Source organism: Homo sapiens, chromosome 9, assembly GCF_000001405.40.
Source record: "Homo sapiens chromosome 9, GRCh38.p14 Primary Assembly".
Classification (NCBI taxonomy): Eukaryota; Metazoa; Chordata; class Mammalia; order Primates; family Hominidae; genus Homo; species Homo sapiens.
In genome coordinates this window covers 8095212-8118094 of record NC_000009.12, presented here as the reverse complement: position 1 = coordinate 8118094, position 22883 = coordinate 8095212, and the positions used below count along the sequence as shown (strand labels likewise).

Below are 22883 nucleotides of genomic sequence, written 5' to 3'. Positions count from 1 at the left end.
AATTATGTCTGAGAAGTTTGGGGGAAAGTCCAATGAGACTGGTTAGAAATCTTAATACAATGTGGCTCAGTAAGAGAAGAACATGGCTTTGGACTCAAGAGGACTGGGTTCAAATCTCAAATTGTTACTTGGTTCTATAAACTTGGAAAAGTCGTTTAACTCAATTAGCTTTAATTTCCTCAACTATTAAGTGGAACAATGATGTTACTCCCTTGTCATACATGTTCTGAAGACCAAATGGGATGGAGTATCCAAAACTCCTTTACAAAGTGCAATTTATAATCTGTAATTACTACTTTTTAATGATTACTTGCCATTATGCGGGTTCCACAGATTACCTCAATGCAGAACTCTGGAAGGTAGGTACAATCCTGCTGGATTTGTATCTATCAGAATCCTGTCAATAAACAAAGAGTACACTCAAATAGAGATAATCTGGAGAGGGTTTAATAAAGGAACTATTCACCAAGCTGTGGCCATGGTGTAGGGAAACTACAAGTGATAGTGCAGTACCCTGGGGCTGCTAATGCGAGGTGTAGTGGTAACTGGGGTAGCACCCGAGGCCTGAAAGCAGGAGGAAAGGAAACAGTTATCGGAACCTGGATAAAGTACATGGTGAAACCACCTGCAGTTCTTTGACCCAGGTTGATGGGCATAGTCAGCCTTGGCAATACTGCAAAGAAGAAATCAGGGCAGTCAATACCGTGGCATCATGTTTTCCCTCTTCAATCTTCTGCCAGCTATTCAAAAGCCAGGGGGCAAATGAGGCCACTGACTTAGCCTATTTAGTAGTTAACTATATATCCAGGTCTGCCTGGAACAGTACCAATTTGTACCCTTTTTCTGGCATAAATACTAGCAGTCTCCTTCTTTTACACCTAAGCATCCATTTTGAACAATAAGTTAAGTGGCCATTCTATCTGTAATTGTTTGCCTTTTGGAGTTGATAAGAGGACGACAAGGCTGGTTAATGAATCTGGAGGGGGAAATAGAAGAAATCCTACACATAATTTTACAGAAGAAGAAATCGAGACTTTGAGATTAAACTACCTGCCCAACGTCAAACAGCTAATGAGGGGCAGAGTGGTTCTGAATACAGGCAGTATAAAAGTGGTTTCATTACAGAAGCTGAGCTCTGAACCACTGCTGCTGAAGATGCTCGGCCTGGAGAGAATGTTTACTTAGAGGAGGATAAGAAGGTTTGTTTTGGGACTCAGTGGTTCATACCAGTCAGTATTACAGGAAGAACTTTGGTGGTATTGCTGAATCTAGCACAGCTAGTGATCATATTTTATTCTTATTATATTACATTCAGCTGACATGAGGCTAACTCCTTATGAGGAAAACATGAGCTAAATCTTCAGTTCCCATGTTAGGAGGATTTCCTGGATGGAACCATTAAAGGAGTGTATCAAATCTGCTCACTTCCACAGACCTCTTAGATGTACTAATTCAACACTTGTACAAATAGAAAACCTTCAGTTCACCCTATGATTTTGCTCCATTTTAGTCAACTCTCCATGGTCCTTTGGTGGAGTGAATCTTTCTAATGACTTACACTTACAGCCATAAGTGGAAACAAAGGCAATAAAGAAAGCCCAAGGATGTTTTATGGTTTTGGCTATTTTAAAATGTAGTCCCCTGGAGATGAAAAACTTGAGCTACCTTGAAAGATAATCTGCGAGCTTCCCACAACCTTTTAGGAAGCTCTGCTCCCCCTCATCCTGCCTTCTAGAGACTGGGCCTGGACTGTACATGTCAACCATAGCTCATGGCAGGAAGTTGTGGGCTATTTATTTAAACCAAATAAAGTAATTCTGAGCCACATAAAATTGTTTTGGAGCAACTCATCATTATTGCCAGACGGAATTAACTGAGCACTCAATATTCTTTGCTAAATATTCTTGCGAAAACTCATTTGGTTATGTATGAAAGGGACACAGACAAAAAAAGATATTAAGGAAGATGTAGATGGAACTAAAGATAATATATATCTACCTACCCAGAGAGAGAGACAGAGAGGAGAAAAGAAACAGGGACCATTCCTGAGTCATATATGTATGTATGAATATATACGTGAATTTATTTTAGGGATGAGTAGTAGAATCCATTTTCATAACTGAGAATGAACTAGAGGCTTCTTATCTGGACACCAAGGTCATATTTCTAACTCTCTAAACATGTTCTCTGGTCACATCAATCTCAATAGAACTGAAAACAAACTCTTCCTCTTTTAATCAGATCTTTTTTCTCAACCTCAATAGTTCAGAGTTAGGGGGAATTTATGTCCATGAGTCATCCAGCTAGGCTTGAGCTCTTCAGTTCTCCAGAAGTTCACTTCTGTGTTGATGCAGGCCTTGCAATCTCCTCCACGATGCACTGGGCTCAGAGTGTAATGTTTGCTGGGCAAAGAGGGACAGGGGGAATGATCTGCAATTTGATGTGTGGAATTCAAAGTGATCTCAGAGGTAGGTCCCAGGTATTAAAGTAAGATTGAAAGCCAAGCACACAGTCCAAAAGACTGCCTAATGGACTGGTATTTGAGGGAAGAGCCAAGTCTGGGACAATGAGGTCAATACAGAAAATTCACAACTGGATTGAGTGAGTTCAAACTGTGGGTCATAGGCAGCATTTGCTGAGGCACTATCTGTTGGCTTGCTATATGCAATTCATATACCTTTATCTAAAGGTCCAAAAACCTTGTCAAAAAAATTAAATGACCTTAGTCCAACAATGTCTGAGAGAAAAATAAGAGTGTCTTCCCCACATAGGCTAACACCTTTAGTTTGCTTTGATAGTATCCTTACTCATTTCTCTTTCATCAATTATTCCCACATCTCTTCTCTAGCTTCAATTTCTTTTTTCCATTGATTTTTTTTCCTACTCATATAAAGTTGCCACTAGTTCTTCTTGCCAATTCTGTGGCCGCTGCAAGCTACAATGGTCTGCTTTCTCCTTTTCAATGCTAAACTCTTTGAAAGAGTACTTTGTAATCTCTTCCTATTCTTTTGTCACCTGGTACAATTTGGCTTTCACACCCCCAAGTTTACTTAAAATTACACTCCACTAAAGTCACCACAGTCTTCCTGGATGACAAATCCAGTGATATTTATCAGTCATAACCCTGACTTCTCAGTATATATGACCCACCAACCCCTTTATCCAGAAAACTTCTCAACATCTGCCTTTTATGATACCACTACCCATGGTTCTCTTGCTAATTCTTTGTCTAACTTCAATGGTTTTTCCCCTTTCTTACCCACTAAATGATTTTATTCCCTAGGTCAGGGTCCAATCCTTAGCCCACATCTTCTGTGTTCTAATTCTGGAGTAATTTCATTAAATGCCAGACATTAACACCCCTCTGTGGACAAAACTCATTCTACATCTATAATCTTGAGTTTTCCTCTGGGTTCCAAGCAAGTATTTTATTTGCCTTTTTGACATTTCCGTAAAGATGACCTATCAGTACCTCAAACTCACTATGTCTACAACAGAATTCGTTATCATTCTTCCCAAATCTGCTTTAGTTCCATATTCCTGATTTAGTTATTGATGTTACCACCCACTTACTACACAAACAAAATTTTGGTTTTATGGATAGCACCTTTTTGCTTCTTATGTCCAATTAATAGTCAGTGTTTAAACATGCTCCCTCTGCAAGGATTCTTAAATTATTTCCTCTATGGTGACTATTTTCACTGTTCCCAGTCGACCTTACTTCATTCTGACCTCCTCATCACCAATCATTCCTATAATTCCTTCCCACAGTCCATCTTGGATCCATGATCAGGGCTATCATTATCATGAAGAGATTTGAATGATTACTTTCTCTACACAATGTTTTATGATGTCCCCATAAAGGGAGTCTGGATAGTTTAAATTGATATTTGACCTTCCATAATTTTGTGCCTTCCACATTCCTTATCTTATTGATGCCCCCTTCATCCTTCCCCCTGAACAAATCTTATGCCCTAAATTCCAATTGTGTCTCTATTTCTGAAGAATGCTATGCCCATGATGTTTCCAGCTTTTTCCAATATTCTTTTTTTATAGTTTTAGTTAGCCTTCATGAAACTCTGCCTAATTACCTTAGGTAAAATAAATACCTATCCTCTCTGCATAGCTTTAATACGTTTTCGAGAAGCGTGCATGGACTTGCCTTTCTCAGTACAGTACTAACTCCCCTTCTAGACTTTAAACTCATAAAACAGAGGACTGCCTTGCTCATCTTAAGGTTTCCTGCAATGCTTGTCATAGTGCTTTATACATATATTCAATAAATGTTTATTCTATTGAATTAAAATCTTACCATTGGTTCTTTTAAAATATGTGTTAGATTTTCCATATTTTCATTTGAGTAATGCTACCTCTAAAGGAGGACCTGGTCACAGTCCATCTTTTTTATTATCTTGGACTTTTTCTTTCAAGCTACCTTGCATAAATCAATACTTTATGTTATTTTCCACTCCTAATCCCAAAATGACCTTGATTGGCTTTTGTGCCAAATCCAGAAGACTCCTCTTTCCATACCTCTAGGTCAACTGAGATTCCCATTCTCTCTCTTTCCAACTCAGACTTACTTTCTGTTACTCCATAAACTGCATTCTTCATACCAGTATCATCTCCCCCTAAATTTTATATGTGCCATCCTTTTCTCACCATTCTGCCTTTGCTCATCCTGTATCTTCTACCTGCAATATCCAACTTTCAAATCATGCAACATCTAACTCAAATGCCTTGTTCTCTGCGAGGCAATTCCTCATTACTATTCTGTGCATGATAATTGTACTCAAAATCAGTATCTCATGTAAACAGTAAATTGTTTTCTTATTGCTATAGTTTTGTTAGATTTCTCTCTCCAACAAGATTATAGGCATTGTGAGGCCAGGTAGGTATACTTCTGTAGGCCTATCAACACTTTTAAGCACATTGCTGGTCACATAATGCTCATTAATTGATCAAGAATAGCTAGGAATGGGGGTCCCATTTCCTAAAAAATGAGACCATATAACTCATCCAATATTTCAGGTCACTCATAGTAAGTGACTTTTAGAAGGGCTGCCATGCTGTGGACTGGGGCCCAGGCCAAGGTTCACATGGACACAATGTAGGAGCAGAAAAGCATCCGGCAGAGTCTGCCTAACTCAACAGCATGGTTTATTGTGCCAACTTCATCTGCTGATCTCATCATTCCTAATTATAATCAATTGATTCTATTAGCTTCTTAAACCTATTTCCAGAGAGTGTATTATACCGAGTGGCCATCATCGAGTAATAGAGTTATGCTCTTTCTACATAAGTCTCCATTCTAGCCAGCCAAGCAGAAAGAACATTTTGCACTAATGTTCTCATAGAAGTGTACAGTTTTCACTGTTTAAAACTTTGTTTCTTTGATCAATTATTTTGGTCTGTAAAAACCCAAAACAGTTTTGATATTTATCTCACAATTTTTAAGAGGGATGAACAGAATACCACAAAAAGACAACATTTTATTGTACACTGTTAGGGAAGAACCAACCTTGATTCTGCAAAGCTTATTAGCTGGAGGTAATAGAGAAGGAAAGGTATCGAAATGCTATAATTGTTGCCTTTATGCTGTTATATAGAACACTGTGCCTCTGGGCTATTTAAAAGTATTTCCCCAATCCAGAGAGACACTGTTATTCTCCACTCCCCATAGCTCTGAAGCAAGTTAACATAAAACTTAATGTAATTATTAGGATAAGATTAAGCTGTAGAAACAAGATAGGGAAACACGTTTTATTTATCTACACCTTGGCAAGTGACACTGGTGACAGAGTTACTTGCCAGTAGTGAACCCCAATCTGCAAACTAGAAGAAAATGTTAAAGGATAATTTTCAAGAGAAGGTAAAATCATGATTCTTACACAGATACAAAAGGAACATATGTAAATTATTCTTCTTAACTTCTTAATTAGAGAACTCATCAGATATTACCACCAGTTCAAAGGGAAATCCAAAGACCAGATCATTTATAGATCAGGAATTTTGAATGGAATGTGCAAATGAGGGTAAAACTAGCTCTTTCTCAATGGGGAAGAGAAGTCAGTTCAACCTCCACTGAAGAGAATTTGCTTATCTTCAGTCAAGAATGATTTTGCATTGCTCTGTAGGGTGTGGGCAGCCTACAGAGTTGTAACATGGCTACTCTAGAATCAGAATCACATAACCCCAAAAGGTGTAGTCTAGATAATGCAGTTTTCCAAGGAAGCAATGATGTTTTCCTACAAAATATGTTTAGGACAATATATGAAATGTAATGTGCCTTTTCTGAATTGAGAAGTGGGGATTGAAGATCCTCAGAAAGAAGAAGGTATTAAAAATGATCCTAGGTTAGATGTACACTTAAATGTCCAGATCCTCAGTCTCAAGTTTACCCCTAAGCCTTGCATACCATGTCTAAAGGAAACTTCTTAGTGGATCGGGGTGACTTAAAATGCTATCTCACTACTTAATTCCTTTTCTATTTCCTTCTTTTGGTTCTTGTTATCCTCACATTCTTCCAACTTAAAAAGAAAAGAGAGACTGCACTCATAGACAGAACAATAGTTAAAATTACTAATTACCAGCAGGCTGTTGAAAAAGGAAGAAGTGGGTGGGAAGAGGTGAGAGCCTGGGCCCAGGAGCTTAGCCACTCTTAACTGTGTAGAACAGGCTTGATTCTGCTCATAGAATTAATCAAGCTTCTCTACCTAGTCTAGGTCTTAATTTTAGAAGAACAGAATCCACTAACAGGATTTTCAATATTTGTTCCAGTATGCCCTAAAGAAAGGGAAGTACCAACCTAATAGGTAGAAAAATCCCTAAAATTGTGAGCTTCTGGAGAACAAAATCTCTCTTCATACAGTATATAAACCCATCAAAACACTGCCTGATGTAAGGACTTCACAAATGTCTCTTTGTTGGTAAGCAGGATGTTTATGTTGATAGTGCATCAATAAAAACAAGCAATGGATTCACAGACTTTTCTACTTGTCAGTTCTTTTTTGCTGATAAACAGCTTACTCAGGCCTGAAAACTACCTACTGTCCCTTCTCTCTCCCACTCAGCTCCCACAAAACAAGGTTAGGCTAAGTCGTGTTGCTTACCTTAGCTGCAAAGCTTACTACATCATAAAACTAGAAATAGCTTTAAATGGGCTGTCAGGCATTGATTTCCTCAGTTCCTCACCATATTCCTTCAAAACGGTGATTGTTTCTGGCTGTCCCTCTCTTCAGGTCCCCTTCATTCTTTCCAAGACTTCCTCTCTCAGAAATGGGTTATTTTCCTCCTGTCATATGTTTTCTTCTGATTCCCCTCAAAGGTCAATTTTTTCTACCTTGTAGGCCCCCTGTGGCCCACTTAATAACAAGAAACAGTAAACTATGATCTGTAGATCAAATGTAGCCCATTGCCCATTTTTGTATGACCTACAAGCTAATGATTGGTAAAAAAAATTGAAAGAAGAGGAAATATTTTATGACACATAAAAATATATGAAATGCCAACTCCTGTGTTCATAAACAAAGTTTTATTAGAATACAGCTATGTTCATTTGTTTATGTATTGTTGACAGATACTTTCACACGACAAGAACTGGGTGAAGTAGCTGTGACAGAAACCATCCTAAAAGCCTGCAAAGCCTAAAACACTTATCTTGTCTTTTATAGGGAAGTTTTGCTGATCCCTGGATTACAAACTTGCCTCTGCCACTTTGTCATTCCAGTGACTTTAGGCAAGTTACTTACTGCCCACTGCCTCAGTTTCCTCATTTGTAAAAGGGAAGTAATAATAATAGAACTCCCTCATTATTTTCTTCTCAGGATGAAAGAGTGAAAATGTAGAGTGTCTGACATGTAGTAAACACTATATGAACATTAACTATTATCATTATTATTATTTCTATAATTGCTGCTGCTCCTGTAATTGTTCTGATCTCCCTTTATGGAGTGCCTTCACTGTGTCAGGTACTGTGCTAACAGTTTTACATGGGATTTTTGTCCTGTCCATTTTTAAAAATGAGGAAGCAAAGGCCTGCAGAGATTAAGTAACTTGTCAAAGTCACTTAGCAAGTCAATAGATTCAACCCAGTCCTGACTCCAACCCCAAGTTCATTTTACCATATGAGTGCCTTTTAACCAAATTTTCTTTTTTTGTAATAGAATCCTTATTTCTCTCCTATTAAATTTTGCCCAGGATGCTGATTTCTCTGATGGTTGAAAATATTTTTCCTCCGGATGATTCAGAGTCTGCCACTCTGAGTCCATCTTGCTCCTTCACTGGCCTGAGTCAGCTCCAGGGAATTGTGAATCTCCTTGAACACAGTGTGGCAATGGCTGCTCAGGCTCCCATGCTGTGCCCCCTTCAGTGGCACAGAAATTTTAGATCTTCTTGCAAGATTATTATTTGAGGGTAATGAGGAATGAGGGTGAGAGGTCATGTCAATATCCTATCTGCAGATTGCTTAAACTCAGCAGCTATGAAGATATCATAATGTGAAGGCGCAGACTCTGCAGCCAGAGTGCCTGTTTTTAAATCACAGCTCTACCGCTTTCTTACTTTGTGATGTTGGACAAATCATTTAACTTCTATGTGCCTTGATTAGTCTACCTCTTACACTGGCACATCCTGAGGAAAGAATATAAACGAAGGCTCACATACTCTATGTCCATTTAAAGGTCGTAAATCTAGCTAGCACCTGTTATATCGTCTATCATCCTAGAAAAACAAAAAGTACTTATCTAGCATTCTCAGACTACCAGGCAGGAACATGGTGGTACCAGGACAGTTGGAGAGTGGCACACATTCCTCTCCTCCCCTACACTCTCTCTTTCCAACAAAGGGCTTCAAATGCACTTGATTATACCATCCTGACCCATGAGTACCTGGGAGTCTGTAATTCCCACAAACAGTCAACCTGAGGCCACCCCTTGGCCATGCCTCTGACTTCAGCTAAGGATGTCTTCCTAACCCCATTGATTCTTTGCCCATGATAAAGGGCATAAATGGAAAAGGCTCAGACCAGGAGCCTTTTTTGCCCTCATCTAACAGTGGTACTCTTCATCAGTATATTGAAGATAATAATGGAATAGCCGCTGCAATGAGAATAAGTTAATATGTTTAAAGTGCTTAGAACAATGCCTAGTAAATGCCAAGAACTACATATATATATATGTATATATATATAATCTATACTTTTGCAAATAACTCATGAAGGCTGTGACTGGTCTGAGATAGAACTAGGAGAAAACATCAATTTGAAAAGAAATTACATAAAATGGAATGAGTTATATAGTCAGTGTAGATGTTTGGCCAAGTCTTCTTCTTCAGAACAACTAAAAAAATGGGAGATTCTATATGAACAAGTACCCAGTACTATAAACCAGGTCATATGTGCCATGGCAGTCCGGAGCTTAAACTCAGTGTTGGTGAATGATGGATTATCAATTTAGGTGCAAATCGTACCTCACCAATGAAGTAATTACAAAATCTGGCATAACTTTGAGATTCTCTACTGCTATTCCTAATAAAGAGAGGCCACCTCTTGATCATTTTCTGTATTACCAGTCCTCTTAGAGCATATCTAAACGCAAAGTGCTAACCTTTTAAAATTGTATGCAGAACAAGTGACCTGAAAGATATGCACTGTGAATAACAAAAAGTGATGCTGATAACCAATATAAAGTCTTTATTGAGTTAAGTAATAGTGGCAGTGTTAACTGCCCCTTATCAAGTGCTTTATATACTTACAAATTGGTATTATTTCCATTTCATAGGTGAGGAAACTGTGGCTCATAAAGGTTAAATGACTCTTCCAAGGCCATGTAGTTTATGAGTAGCAGGGTTGGGATTTGAATCCAGAGCTATCTTGTGCTTAAGCTGAGATAGTTCTGTTTTTGACCCCAAAACAGTCTCTTAATGCACAATGTACTTCAAGAGAGCATATTGTTGTATGAACACCGTGCTGCCAAATGACTGTCATCCAATGCAATGATCTTTGTGTTGCAGTGAACTTCAATTCAGTTTTATGTGCTTCTCCACGTGTGGTTGTTTCCCTTTGGTTAAATCCCCAGATTGTCAAAATCTTCACTAATGTATCCATCGTGGTCCCTTGGTTAAGTTGTTCTACTAAATTTTCATACAAGTTTTACTTTCACAAATATCGAAGATGCCCATTAACAAACATTTTTAAAAAGCCCCAGTAGAAATCACATTTTTGATTCTATACATTCTATAGGGTTTCTTTGCCATTGTCCTGGCAGGCAAATTTGGTTATGTTATTGAAGTTCCGGAAGGAACAGCCAGATTCATTCCCTGGACTTGACACTCTTCACACACAGACCCTTTCTCCTCTGCAAAGCTGTGTCCTCTCTCATTCCATATTTGCAAATGTCCCTGCCACCTGGCTGCTCACAGAAAAGGAACAGATTCTAGAACATCACTTCCCAAGGTGAAGTATATCCATTTCAATCTCTAAATGAGGAAACTGCTGGTGCAGAAAATCACTAAACAAAAAGCATCTCCTTCAAATGCCCTCATGAAAGGACTCATTTCCTGGCAGTGGAAAGAGGAAGCAAGCAACCATTACACAGGGCCCAACACAAGGAAAATCTGCTCATGGCAAATTTCTGTGCCAATCTCCCAGATCTGTTAGCCATTGAGTGGTATGCTATGCCAGCAAGGAGTCACTGGAAGCAGGAAAAAGATTGCAGAATTTATATCATTGTCTCTGAGGTCATACCAAGAAAATCCTTGCTGTTAGCAACCATAACTTCTGAGGTTCAAAAATGAATGCATAACCAAGGCCAAAGTCACCTCAACTCCTTGACAAGCACATCCCAGTCTACACTGGCATGATGTTGCAGATATGATTTAAAAAAAATACAGAGCTCTGTTTTCCAGGAGGAAGCTATGTTATAATGGAAAGCTTATTCTAACTTGATTTAATATTTGCTATTAATTTCTAACTTTTCCCTCTTACTATTTTCATAAACCCAACCAAATTTTGTGATTCTGGTCCCCCACTAACATAAGGCAATAAAAATGTATTCTTTTCAGCGTTCTTGTGAAAATCAAATAGGAAGCCTCTTTGTAAAACAACTTATAACCCTATCCAAGTCTCTGCTGACATAGTCTAGTTACTTCTGTTTTATAAGTTTTCTCCATTTTAAATTGGCCTTTCAGTTTATAAAGCAAGTAATTACCAAGAGCTTTGGAGAGTCAAGAAGTTTGGGCCCCAGATGTCTTTCTTTTCTCCCATTCTTTAGCAGTGTTTCATCAGAAAATGGTTGTCCCTAATCCTCTCTTAAATGACAGAGATTCCCATGTATGTTCTGTGTTAGGTGACAATCAGATATTGCTGGGGCTTGTTAAAGAAAAAGGGGAAGCTCCTTCCACACCTGCCTTCTGTGATTAAAATTATACCTTGCCTTGACTCTTCAGTATTATCAAGTAGTTTAGCTGTTATCCATCCATTGTTTACTCCAGACATTTTTTTAGTACTGCTGGCAGCATGATTACCAACTGACAAGCAAGTCTGAATATTGAGGCTGGTGAATGACTGGCATTCTTAAACATGGTAAACATGAAGATTTTTCATCTAGAAGATACTGATTTCACTTCTGGCAGTGCTGAGGGATGGGCCATGTCAAAACCGAGAAAGAATCTACAGTTCTGTGAAAAGACAGATTCTTCAGAAAGGAAAATGATACTGACCCTTACTTAATCAGTCTTCTCCCCAAGTCTGCTTTCTCTTTTTTTTTTTCTCTTCCTTTGGCTTTTCCTCTAGAGCTTGCCCTTTTTTCTGTTCCTCTCCTTTCTTGTCTCACATTCTGCAGTAGAAGATACAACATATAATCAACACATAATGTCCTAACTGTCTTATAAAGTGTCTCCTGAGAAAGATATATCATGCAAATGTAAAGCAAAAAGTAGGGTTTGCACATAGTTGGAAGTAAAGCACTCCTCGGCAAATGTAAAAGAACAGAAATTATAACAAACTGTGTCTCAGACCACAGTGCAATCAAACTAGAACTCAGGATTAAGAAACTCACTCAAAACTGCTCAACTACATGGAAACTGAACAACCTGCTCCTGAATGACTACTGGGTACATAATGAAATGAAGGCAGAAATAAAGATGTTCTTTGAAACCAACAAGCACAAAGACACAACATACCAGAATCTCTGATACACATTTAAAGCAGTGTGTAGAGGGAAATTTATAGCACTAAATGCCCACAAGAGAAAGCAGGAAAGATCTAAAATTGACACCCTAACATCACAATTAAAAGAACTAGAGAAGCAGGAGCAAACACATTCAAAAGCTAACAGAAGGCAAGAAATAACTAAGATCAGAGAAGAACTGAAGGAGATAGAGGCACAAAATCCCTTTAAAAAAAAGCAATGAATCCAGGAGCTAGTTTTTGAGAAGATCAACAAAATTGATAGAACTCTAGCAAGACAAAGAAGAAAAGAGAGAAGAATCAAACAGATGCAATAAAAAATGATAAAGGGGATATCACCACCGATCCCACAGAAATACAAACTACCATCAGAGAATACTATAAACACCTCTACACAAATAAAGTAGAAAATCTAGAAGAAATGGATAAATTCCTCGACACATACACCCACCCAAGACTAAACCAGGAAGAACTTGAATCCCTGAATAGGCCAATAACAGGCTCTGAAACTGAGGCAATAATTAATAGCCTACCAACCAAAAAAAGTCCAGTACCAGATGGATTCACAGCCGAATTCTACCAGAGGTACAAGGAGGAGCTGGTACCATTCCTTCTGAAACTATTCCAATCAATAGAAAAAGAGGGATCCTCCCTAACTCATTTTATGAGGCCAGCATCATCCTGATACCAAAGCCTGGTAGAGACACAACAAAAAAAGAGAATTTTAGACCAATATCCCTGATGAATATCGATGCAAAAATCCTCAATAAAATACTGGCAAACCGAATACAGGAGTACATCAAAAAGCTTATCCAACATGATCAAGTGGGCTTCATCCCTGGGATGCAAGGCTGGTTCAACATATGCAAATCAATAAACATAATCCAGCATATAAACAGAACCAAAGACAAAAACCACATAATTATCTTAATAGATGTAGAAAAGGCCTTTGACAAAATTCAACAGCTCTTAATGCTAAAAACTCTCAATAAATTAGGTATTGATGGGATGTATCTCAAAATATTAAGAGTTATTTATGACAAACCCACAGCCAATATACTGAATGGGCAAAAACTGGAAGCATTCCCTTTGAAAACTGGCACAACACAGGGATGCTCTCTCTTACCACTCCTATTCAACATAGTGTTGGAAGTTCTGGCCAGGGCAGTCAGGCAGGAGAAAGAAATAAAGGGCATTCAATTAGGAAAAGAGGAAGTCAAATTGTCCCTGTTTGCAGATGACATGATTGTATATTTACAAAACCCCATTGTCTCAGCCCAAAATCTCCTTAAGCTGATAAGCAACTTCAGCAAAGTCTCAGGAAACAAAATCAATGTGCAAAAATCACAAACATTCTTATACACCAATAACAGACAAACAGAGAGCCAAATCATGAGTGAACTCCCATTCATGATTGCTTCAAAGAGAATAAAATACCTAGGAATCCAACTTACAAGGGATGTGAAGGAACTCTTCAAGGAGAACTACAAACCACTGCTCAATGAAATAAAAGAGGACCCAAACAAATGGAAGAACATTCCATGCTCATGGATAGGAAGAATCAATATCGTGAAAATGGCCATACTGCCTAAGGTAATTTATAGATTCAGTACCATCCCCATCAAGCTACCAATGACTTTCTTCACAGAATTGGAAAAAACTACTTTAAAGTTCATATGGAACCAAAAATGAGCCCGCATAGCCAAGACAATCCTAAGCCAAAGAATAAAGCTGGAGGCATCACGCTACCAGACTTCAAACTATACTATAAGGCTACAATAACCAAAACAGCATGGTACTGGTACCAAAACAGAGATATAGATCAATGGAGCAGAACAGAGCCCTCACAAATAATACCACACATCTACAACCATCTGATCTTTGACAAACCTGACAAAAACAAGAAATGGGGAAAGGATTCTCTATTTAACAAATGGTGCTGGGAAAACTGGCTAGCCATATATAGAAAGCTGAAACTGGATCCCTTCCTTATACCTTATACAAAAATTAATTCAAGATGGATTAAAGACTTAAATGTTAGACCTAAAACCATAAAAACCCTAGAAGACAACCTAGGCAATACCGTTCAGGACATAGGCATGGGCAAGGACTTCATATCTAAAACACCAAAAGCAATGGCAACAAAAGCCAAAACTGACAAATGGGATCTAGTTAACCTAAGGAGCTTCTGCACAGCAAAAGAAACTACCATAAGAGTGAACAGGCAACCTACAGAATGGGAGAAAATATTTGCAATCTACCCATCTGACAAAGGGCTAATATCCAGAATCTACAAAGAACTCAAACACATTTACAAGAAAAAAACAAACAACCCCATCAACAAGTGGGCAAAGGATATGAACAGACACTTCTCAAAAGAAGACATTCATGCGGACAACAGACACATGAAAAACTGTTCATCATCAATAGCCTTCAGACAAATGCAAATCAAAACCACAATGAGATACCATCTCACACCAGTTAGAATGGCGATCATTAAAAAGTCAGGAAACAACAGGTGCTGGAGAGGATGTGGAGAAATAGGAACACTTTTACACTGTTGGTGGGACTGTAAACGAGTTCAACCATTGTGGAAGACGGTGTGGCGATTCCTCAAGGATCTAGAACTGGAAATACCATTTGACCCAGCCATCCCATTACTGGGTATATACCCAAAGGATTATAAATCATGCTGCTATAAAGGCACATGCACACGTACGTTTATTGCGGCACTATTCACAATAGCAAAGAGTTGGAACCAACCCAAATGTCCAACAATGATAGACTGGATTAAGAAAATGTGGCACATATACACCATGGAATACTATGCAGCCATAAAAAAGGATGAGTTCATGTCCTTTGTAGGGACATGGTTGAAGTTGGAAACCATCATTCTCAGCAAACTATCACAAGAAGAAAAAACCATACACTGCGTGTTCTCACTCATAGGTGGGAATTGAACAATGAGAACACTTGGACACAGGAAGTGGAACATCACACACCAGGGCCTGTTGTGGTGGTGGGGGAAGCAGGGAGGGGAAGCATTAGGAGATATACCTAATGTAAATGACGAGTTAATGGGTGCAGCACACCAACATGGCACATGTACACATATGTAACAAACCTGCACGTTGTGCACATGTACCCTAGAACTTGAAGTATAATAAAAAATAAAAAATAAAATAAGTAGGGTTTGCTATTCTTATATTAGATAAAACAGACTTTAAGCCAACAATGGTAAAAATGGACAAAGAGGGGTATTACATAATGATAAAGGGTTCAATTCAATGAGAAGCCTTAACTATCACACCCAACACCATATAACAATGAATTCTAGGCCTATGAAAAGACTTAGACAGTCACAAAATTATATGGGGGGATTTCACCACCCCACTGACAGTGATAGATGATTGAGGCAGAAAACTAACAAATCCTAGACTTAAACTTGACACTTGACTAATTGGACCTAAAAGACATCTACCGAACACTCCAGCCATCAACCACAGAATATATACATTCTTCCTCTCTGCACATGGAACATAATCCAAGATCAACCACATGCTTAGCCATAAAGCAAGTCACAGTGAATTCAAAAACAATTGAAATCATACCAACTATACTCTCAGACCACAATAGAATAAAAATGGAAGTCAATACCAACAAGTTTCCCCAAAACCACACAATTGTGTGGATATTAAACAACTTTCTCTTGAATGACTTTTGAGTAAATAAGGCAGAAATTAAAAAAATTCTTTGAAAGAAATAAAAACAGAGACACAACATACCAAAATCTGTGGGATGCAGCAAAAACAGTGTTAAGAGGAAAGTTTGTAGTGCTAAACAACTAACTCAAAAAGTTAGAAAGATCTCAAATGAATGATCTAATATTACAACTAAAGGAGTTAGAAAAACAAGAAAAACTAACTACAAGCTAGCAGAAGAAAAGAAATAAACAAAATCAGAGCAGAACTGAATGGAAGTGAGACCCCAAAGTCCATACAAAGAATCAACGAAACCAACAGCTGTTTCTTTGAAAGGATAAATGAAAGCACTAGACTAGCTGGATTAACAAAGAAAAAAAAGAAGATCTAAATAAGCACAGTCAGCAACTATAAAGATGACATTACAATCCATCCCACAGAAAAATAAAAGCTCTTTAGAGACAATTATTAACAACTTTATGCAAAAAAACTAGTAAATCTAGAGGAAATGGATGAATTCCTGGAAATACACAACCTCCCAACATCGAATCAGGAAGAAATTGAAATCTTCAACAAACTGATATCAAGTTCCAGAATTGAATCAGTAATAAAAAACCTACCAACCAAAAACAGCCCCAGACCAGATGGATTCATAAATTCCACCAGACATACAAAGAACAGCTGGTACCAATTTACTGAAATTATTCCAAAAAAGAAAGGAGGAGAGACTCCTCCCCAACTCATTCTATAAAGCGAGCATCACCTTGATAACAAATCCTGACAATGACACAACAACAAAAAAGAAAACTATAGGCCAATATCTCTTATGAACATAAACCCCCAAATCCTCAACAAAATCCTAGCAAACTAAATCCAGTAGCAAATCAAAAAGTTAATTCACTGTAATCAAGTAGGCTTAATCCATGGGATGCATAGTCAGCTCAACATATGTAAATCAATAAATATGATTTACCACATAAACATAACTAAAAACAAAAACCATATGATCATCTCAGTAGTTGCAGAAAAAGCCTTCCATAAAATCCAACATCCCTTCACAATTAAAACCCCCAAAAAACTAGGTGTCAAAGGACTATATCTCAAAATAATAAAAACCGTCTATGACAAACCCACAGCCAATATCATACAAAATGGGTAAAAGCCAGAAGAATTCCCCTTGAGAACTGGAAAAAGATAAGGATGCCTGCTCACCACTCCTATTTAGCATAGTATTGGAAGTCTTAACCAGAGCAATAAGTCAAGAGAAATAAATAAAAGGCATCTATACAAGAAAAGGAGCCAAACTATCTCTCAAATAAACGGCATCCATAATAGAAAAGAAGTCATACTATCTGTATTCAGGGATGATGATGTGATCCTATACCTAGAAAACCCTAAAAGCTCCATCAAAAGGCTCCTGGAACTGATACACTACTTCAGTAAAGTTTCAGGATACAAGATCGGTGTGCAAAAATCAATAGCATTTCTATACACCAATAATGTTCAAGCTGGTAGCCAAATCAAGAAAACAATCCCATTTACTGTATTCACACACAAAAAAATAGTAGGAATAAATCTAATCTAACCAAGGAGATAAAGGATTTGTAGAAGGAAAACTATAAACACTGCTGAAAAATGGCTGGGAGCGGTGGCTCACGCCTGTAATTCCAGCACTTTGGGAGGCCAAGGTGGGTGGATCACGAGGTCAGAAGATCGAGTCCATCCTGGCTAACATGGTGAAACCCCGCCTCTACTAAAAATACAAAAAAATAAATTAGCTGGGTGTGGTAGCAGACGCCTGTAGTCCCAGCTGCTTGGGAGGCTGAGGCAGGAGAATGGCGTGAACCCGGGAGGTGGAGCTTGCAGTGAGCCAAGATCAGGCCACTGTACTCCAGCCTGGGTGACAGGGCAAGACTCTGTCTCAAAAAATAAACAAATAAATAAAAATAAAAATAAAAAAACTGCTTAAAAAATCATAGATGACACAAATGGAAAGTCATTCTATGCTCATGGGGTAGAAGAATCAATATTGTTAAAATGGCCATATTGCCTAAAGCAATCTACAGATTCAATGCTATTCCTATCAAACTACCAGTGTTACTTTTCATATAATTAAAAAAAAACTGTTCAAAAATTCATATGAAACAACAACAAAAATTAGCTCAAATAGCCAAAGCAATTCTAAACAAAAAGAAAGTCAGAGGCATCACATTACCGTGCTTGAAACTATGCTATAATGCTACAGTAACCCAAACAGCATGGTACTGGTACAAAACCAGACATAGGCCAACGGAACAAATTAGAGAATTCAGAAATAAAGCTGCACACCTACAGCCATCTGATCTTTTACAAAGTTGGCAGTAACAAACAATGGGAAAAGGACTTCCTATTTAATAAATGGTATTGAGATAGCTGGCTAGCTACATGAAGAAGAATGAAACTGAAACTGAACCCCAACTTCCAAAAAATTAACTCAAGATGGATTAAAGATGTAAATGTAAGACCTCAAACTATATGAATCCCGAAAGAAAATATAGGAAATACCACCCTAGACATCAGCCTTGAGAAAGAATTTTTGACTAAGTCCTCAAAAGCAATTGCAACAAAACCAAAAATTGACTAGTGGGACATAATTAAGCTAAAGAGCTTCTGCAAAACAAAAGAAACTTCCAAAAAAGTCAACAGCCTACAGAATGCGAGAAAATGTTTACATTATCTGACAAAGATATAATATCCAGAATATATAAGGAACTTAATTTAACAAGCAAAAACCAAATACTTCCATTAAAATGTGAGCAAAGATGTTTGTTGCAGATGTTTTCACAATAGCCAAAATTTTGGATGCAAGCTAGGTGTCCAGCAACAGATGAATGAATAAAGAAAATGTCGTACTTGTACATAAAGGAGAACTATTGAGCCATAAAATGAATGAGATCCTATCATTTGCAACAACATGGATGGAACTGGAGGTCATTACGCTAAGGAAATAAGCCAGGCAAGAAAGACAAATATCACATGTTCTCACTTATTTGTGGGATCTTAAAATCAAAACAATTGAACTCACAGAGATAGAGAGTAGAAAGATGGTTACCAGAGACTTGGAGGGTATTAGGGGGATGGTGGCAGTGGGGTGGGGGGAAGAAGAGGGCAGTGGGGATGGTTAATGAGTACAAAAAAATAGGAAGAATGAATAAGACCTAGTATTTGGTAGCACGACAGGGTGACTATAGTCGATAATAATTCAACTGTACATTAAAAATAATTAAAAGAGTATAAATGGATTATTTGTAACACAAAGGATGAATGCTTGAGGGGAAGGATACCCCATTTTCCATGATGTGATTATTGTGCACTGAAGGCCTGTATCAAAACATGTTATGTATTCCGTAATTATATACACCTACTATGTACCCACAAAAATAAAAAAAAAAAAAAAAGAAAAAGAAAGTGGGCAAGGGACATGAACAGACATTTCCCAAAACATGACAGACAAGTGGTCAGCAAACATAGGAAAAAATGCTTCACATCACTAGTCATCAGAGAAAAGCAAATCAAAGCCACAATGAGATACCATTTTTATACAAGTCAGAATGGTTATTATCAAAAAGTCAACAAACAACAGATGCTGGCAAGGCTGTGGAGAAAAGGGAATGCTTACACACTATTGGTGGGAATGTAAATTAGTTCAGCCACTGCAGAAAGCAGTTTGGAGATTTCTCATAGATCTTAAAACAAAACTACCATTTGACCCAGCAATCTCATTACTGCGTATATTGCCAAAAGAAAATAAATCATTCTACCAAAAAGACACATGCATGCGCATGTTCATTGCAGTGCTACTGATATGGTTTGGCTATGTCCCCACCCTAATCTCATCTTGAATTGTAGTTCTCATAATCCCCAAGTGTTGTGGGAGGGACCCAGTGGGAGGTAATGGAATCATGGGGCGGTTACCTTTATGCTGTTCTGATGATAGTGAATTCTCATGAGATCTGATGGTTTTATAAGAAGCTTTCCCTCTCTACACTCTGTACTTCTCCTTGCTGCCACCATGTGATGAAGGATGTGCCTGCTTCCCCGTCTGCCATGATTGTAAGTTTCCTGATGCCTCCCCAGCCATGCTGAACTGTGAGTCAATTAAACCTCTTTCCTATATAAATTACCCAGTCTCAAGCATGTCTTTACTAGCAGAATGAGAACACACTAATACTGCTATTCACAATGGCGAAGACACAGAATCAAATAAGATGCCCATCAATGGTGGATTGGACACAGAAAATGTAGTATGTATATACCATAGAATACTATGCAGCCATGAAAAGAATGAAATCATGTTATTTGCAGCCACGTGGATGCAGCCGAAGGCCATTATCTTAAGTGCATTAACACAGAAAAAGAACGCCAAATGCCACATATTCTCATGTATAAGTGGGAGCTAAACATTGGCTGCTCAGGTACATAAAAATGGCAATGATAGACATTGGTGACTTCTATGTGGGGAGGAAGAAAGCAGGGAAAGTGCTGAAAAATAAACTCTCGGCTACTATGCTCACTATTTGGGTGATGGAATCATTCACATCCAAAACTTCAGCATCATGCAATATGCCCAGGTAACAAACCTGCAAACGTACCCTTAAATCTAAAAAGTTGAAATTATAAAAACAAAATAAAGTGTCTCCTGAGGACTTGTGTCACGCAAGTCACCGATGTAGTTTGTATGACCCTGAAACGACATCACACAGGTATGAGAGTTACCACTCTCTGATATGGAGTGGGCAACACACAATCATCATGCACATATTCACACACCACAGTGGGACACAATTAAGAAATATCAAACTAAAAGTTCATTATGTTGAGGGTGTGACTAGAATCTTGTGTCTGCCAAACAAACAGGAAATAGATGATGAAATCTAATTAGCTTTCAGCTCAACAAAAGCAATGGAGCTACACAAGCAAGGGCAAGGATGAATGACTTTGAAGAGAAAAAGAAAATAGCTTGAATTCAGAAAACCTCTTTGGTGTTTGTTTGTTTGTTTTCAAATTTGCAGATTTTACACACACTAAGCACATTTTATGCGAGGAATTTTCTCTCCTACTTAAATTCATTGACATTTATATATAATAAGCTGGCTCATCAAGTTTCTTTGCTAAATATTTTATGAAAATATAGAAGTAGAAAGGGCCTTAGACATCATTGAATCTAATCCCCTTGTTTTACAGATGAATAAACTGAGGTCTAGAGACAAAAACTGGCTTGCAGAAGCTCACATAGCGCATGGTAGAAATGAGCCTAGAGAGCATGTCTATGGAGCTCAAATTTGTGTTTCTTCTCACTGTACTAAGGCTGCTAGGTAAATCTTATATAAAAAAGCCAAACATTTTGGTGGGAAACAGAGTGTTACATATTTTCCAAAGAATGAACAGAACATGAGCCTCTCAGCAGAAAATGGCTGAAACTTAAGGGTTGCTAAATTCCTGTGAAGCCCTCCAACATGGCAAACACCTCACTCTGTTCCAGAAGACATGTGCTATTATCAAAAGGATAAATGGGTGGCCATTTAATTAAAACGTCACTAGAAGAAAAAACTTAGGAAAGTGTGACCACAGATGCCCTTGTTTTGCACAGCCAATATCCTCCATGAATCTCATGGAGAAAACAGTCTTTCAGGAAGGGCCAGTGGAGCTACGTGGTGACCCAAGAGCTTACATACTATTCACAGCTAGCAATTCTCAGTTGAGCCTGTGAATTTTAAATTCTGTGCTGTGACAATGACATAAAGCAAGTTTGTTTGTTTTCTTCTTTCTTAAAAGCCTAATAAAGACATTGTACAGGATTCATTATCGAATCTTGGCTGGAGTCTTTCATCTGAGCTCTAATGCCCTGAGTTTAACCATCATCAGATGCCCACCCCAGCTGGTAAGTTGACCTGAATGGTAATCACAGCTGGCAACATTGGCAAAAAGGCAAAAGCTACACATGCGCGTGTACATGCACACACACACACAGACACTGTATAATGTGTGTACGTGTGTGTATATATGCAAGCCCACTCCATTCTCTTTAATAATAATAATCTTTTACTCTTTGAAGAGGCACAGAAATCTGAACTACTACTGTAGCCCTGTTAACAGCCAACTCTGTGACAAGGGCCCACTCGAAAGAGAGGAAGGTCAATAAAAGTAAAGTGTAAGTGTACTGCTAATGACAGGTTCTTGCAGGCACTTTCCCCCAAATTATACCATTCCTATTCAAATACCATCTCAAGAGTCTCAGACAGTGTCAAGTGCAATCATTGTTATTGCAGTTGCCAAGGTAATCAATTGAAATCATAATGAAGGGAACAGAAGGAAATCAATAGAGTCTGAAATTACAAATAAAGAGAAGCTATCGTTTAAGAGCATTTGGCTGAAATCTTCCATATTAATGGAGTCAGAAATGGCTGTGTCATTCAGAAGCAGTGTGGTGCATAATTCAGCTGAGTGCATTAGAATACCTAAAAACGATTGCAGCAATTAGGGCTGCCTACCAAGAATCTGTCCACCTTAGAAGGCACATTGCTGAGTCATTTGTTACCATTTTAGTGTGTTTTTATATCTTTAAAATTTCAATCATCTCCCAGAGTACCCTTAGGCAGGAGGCAGGATTAGCTTGTTCAAAGACATCCAGAGCAGATTGTTAGTCTGGTTTGATTCTGAGATTGGGAAGTAAGAGAGGCTAATCATGCATTTTATGTTAGAAGTATCTTCCTTTTTTTTTTTTTTTTTTTTTTGAGACGGAGTCTCGCTCTGTCGCCCAGGCTGGAGTGCAGTGGCGCGATCTCGGCTCACTACAAGCTCCGCCTCCCGGGTTCACGCCATTCTCCTGCCTCAGCCTCCCGAGTAGCTGGGACTACAGGTGCCCGCCACCACGCCCGGCTAATTTTTTGTATTTTTAGTACAGACGGGGTTTCACCGTGTTAGCCAGGATGGTCTCGATCTCTTGACCTCGTGAT

General features: G+C 38.3%; 1 annotated feature.

Moving 5' to 3' along the window:
- Window positions 21929-22542: an enhancer, noted in NCBI's record as "VISTA enhancer hs304". NCBI's record gives its function as "enhancer in: midbrain (mesencephalon)[3/6] | forebrain[5/6]" and the evidence as "EXISTENCE:transgenic organism evidence [ECO:0001131][PMID:17130149]".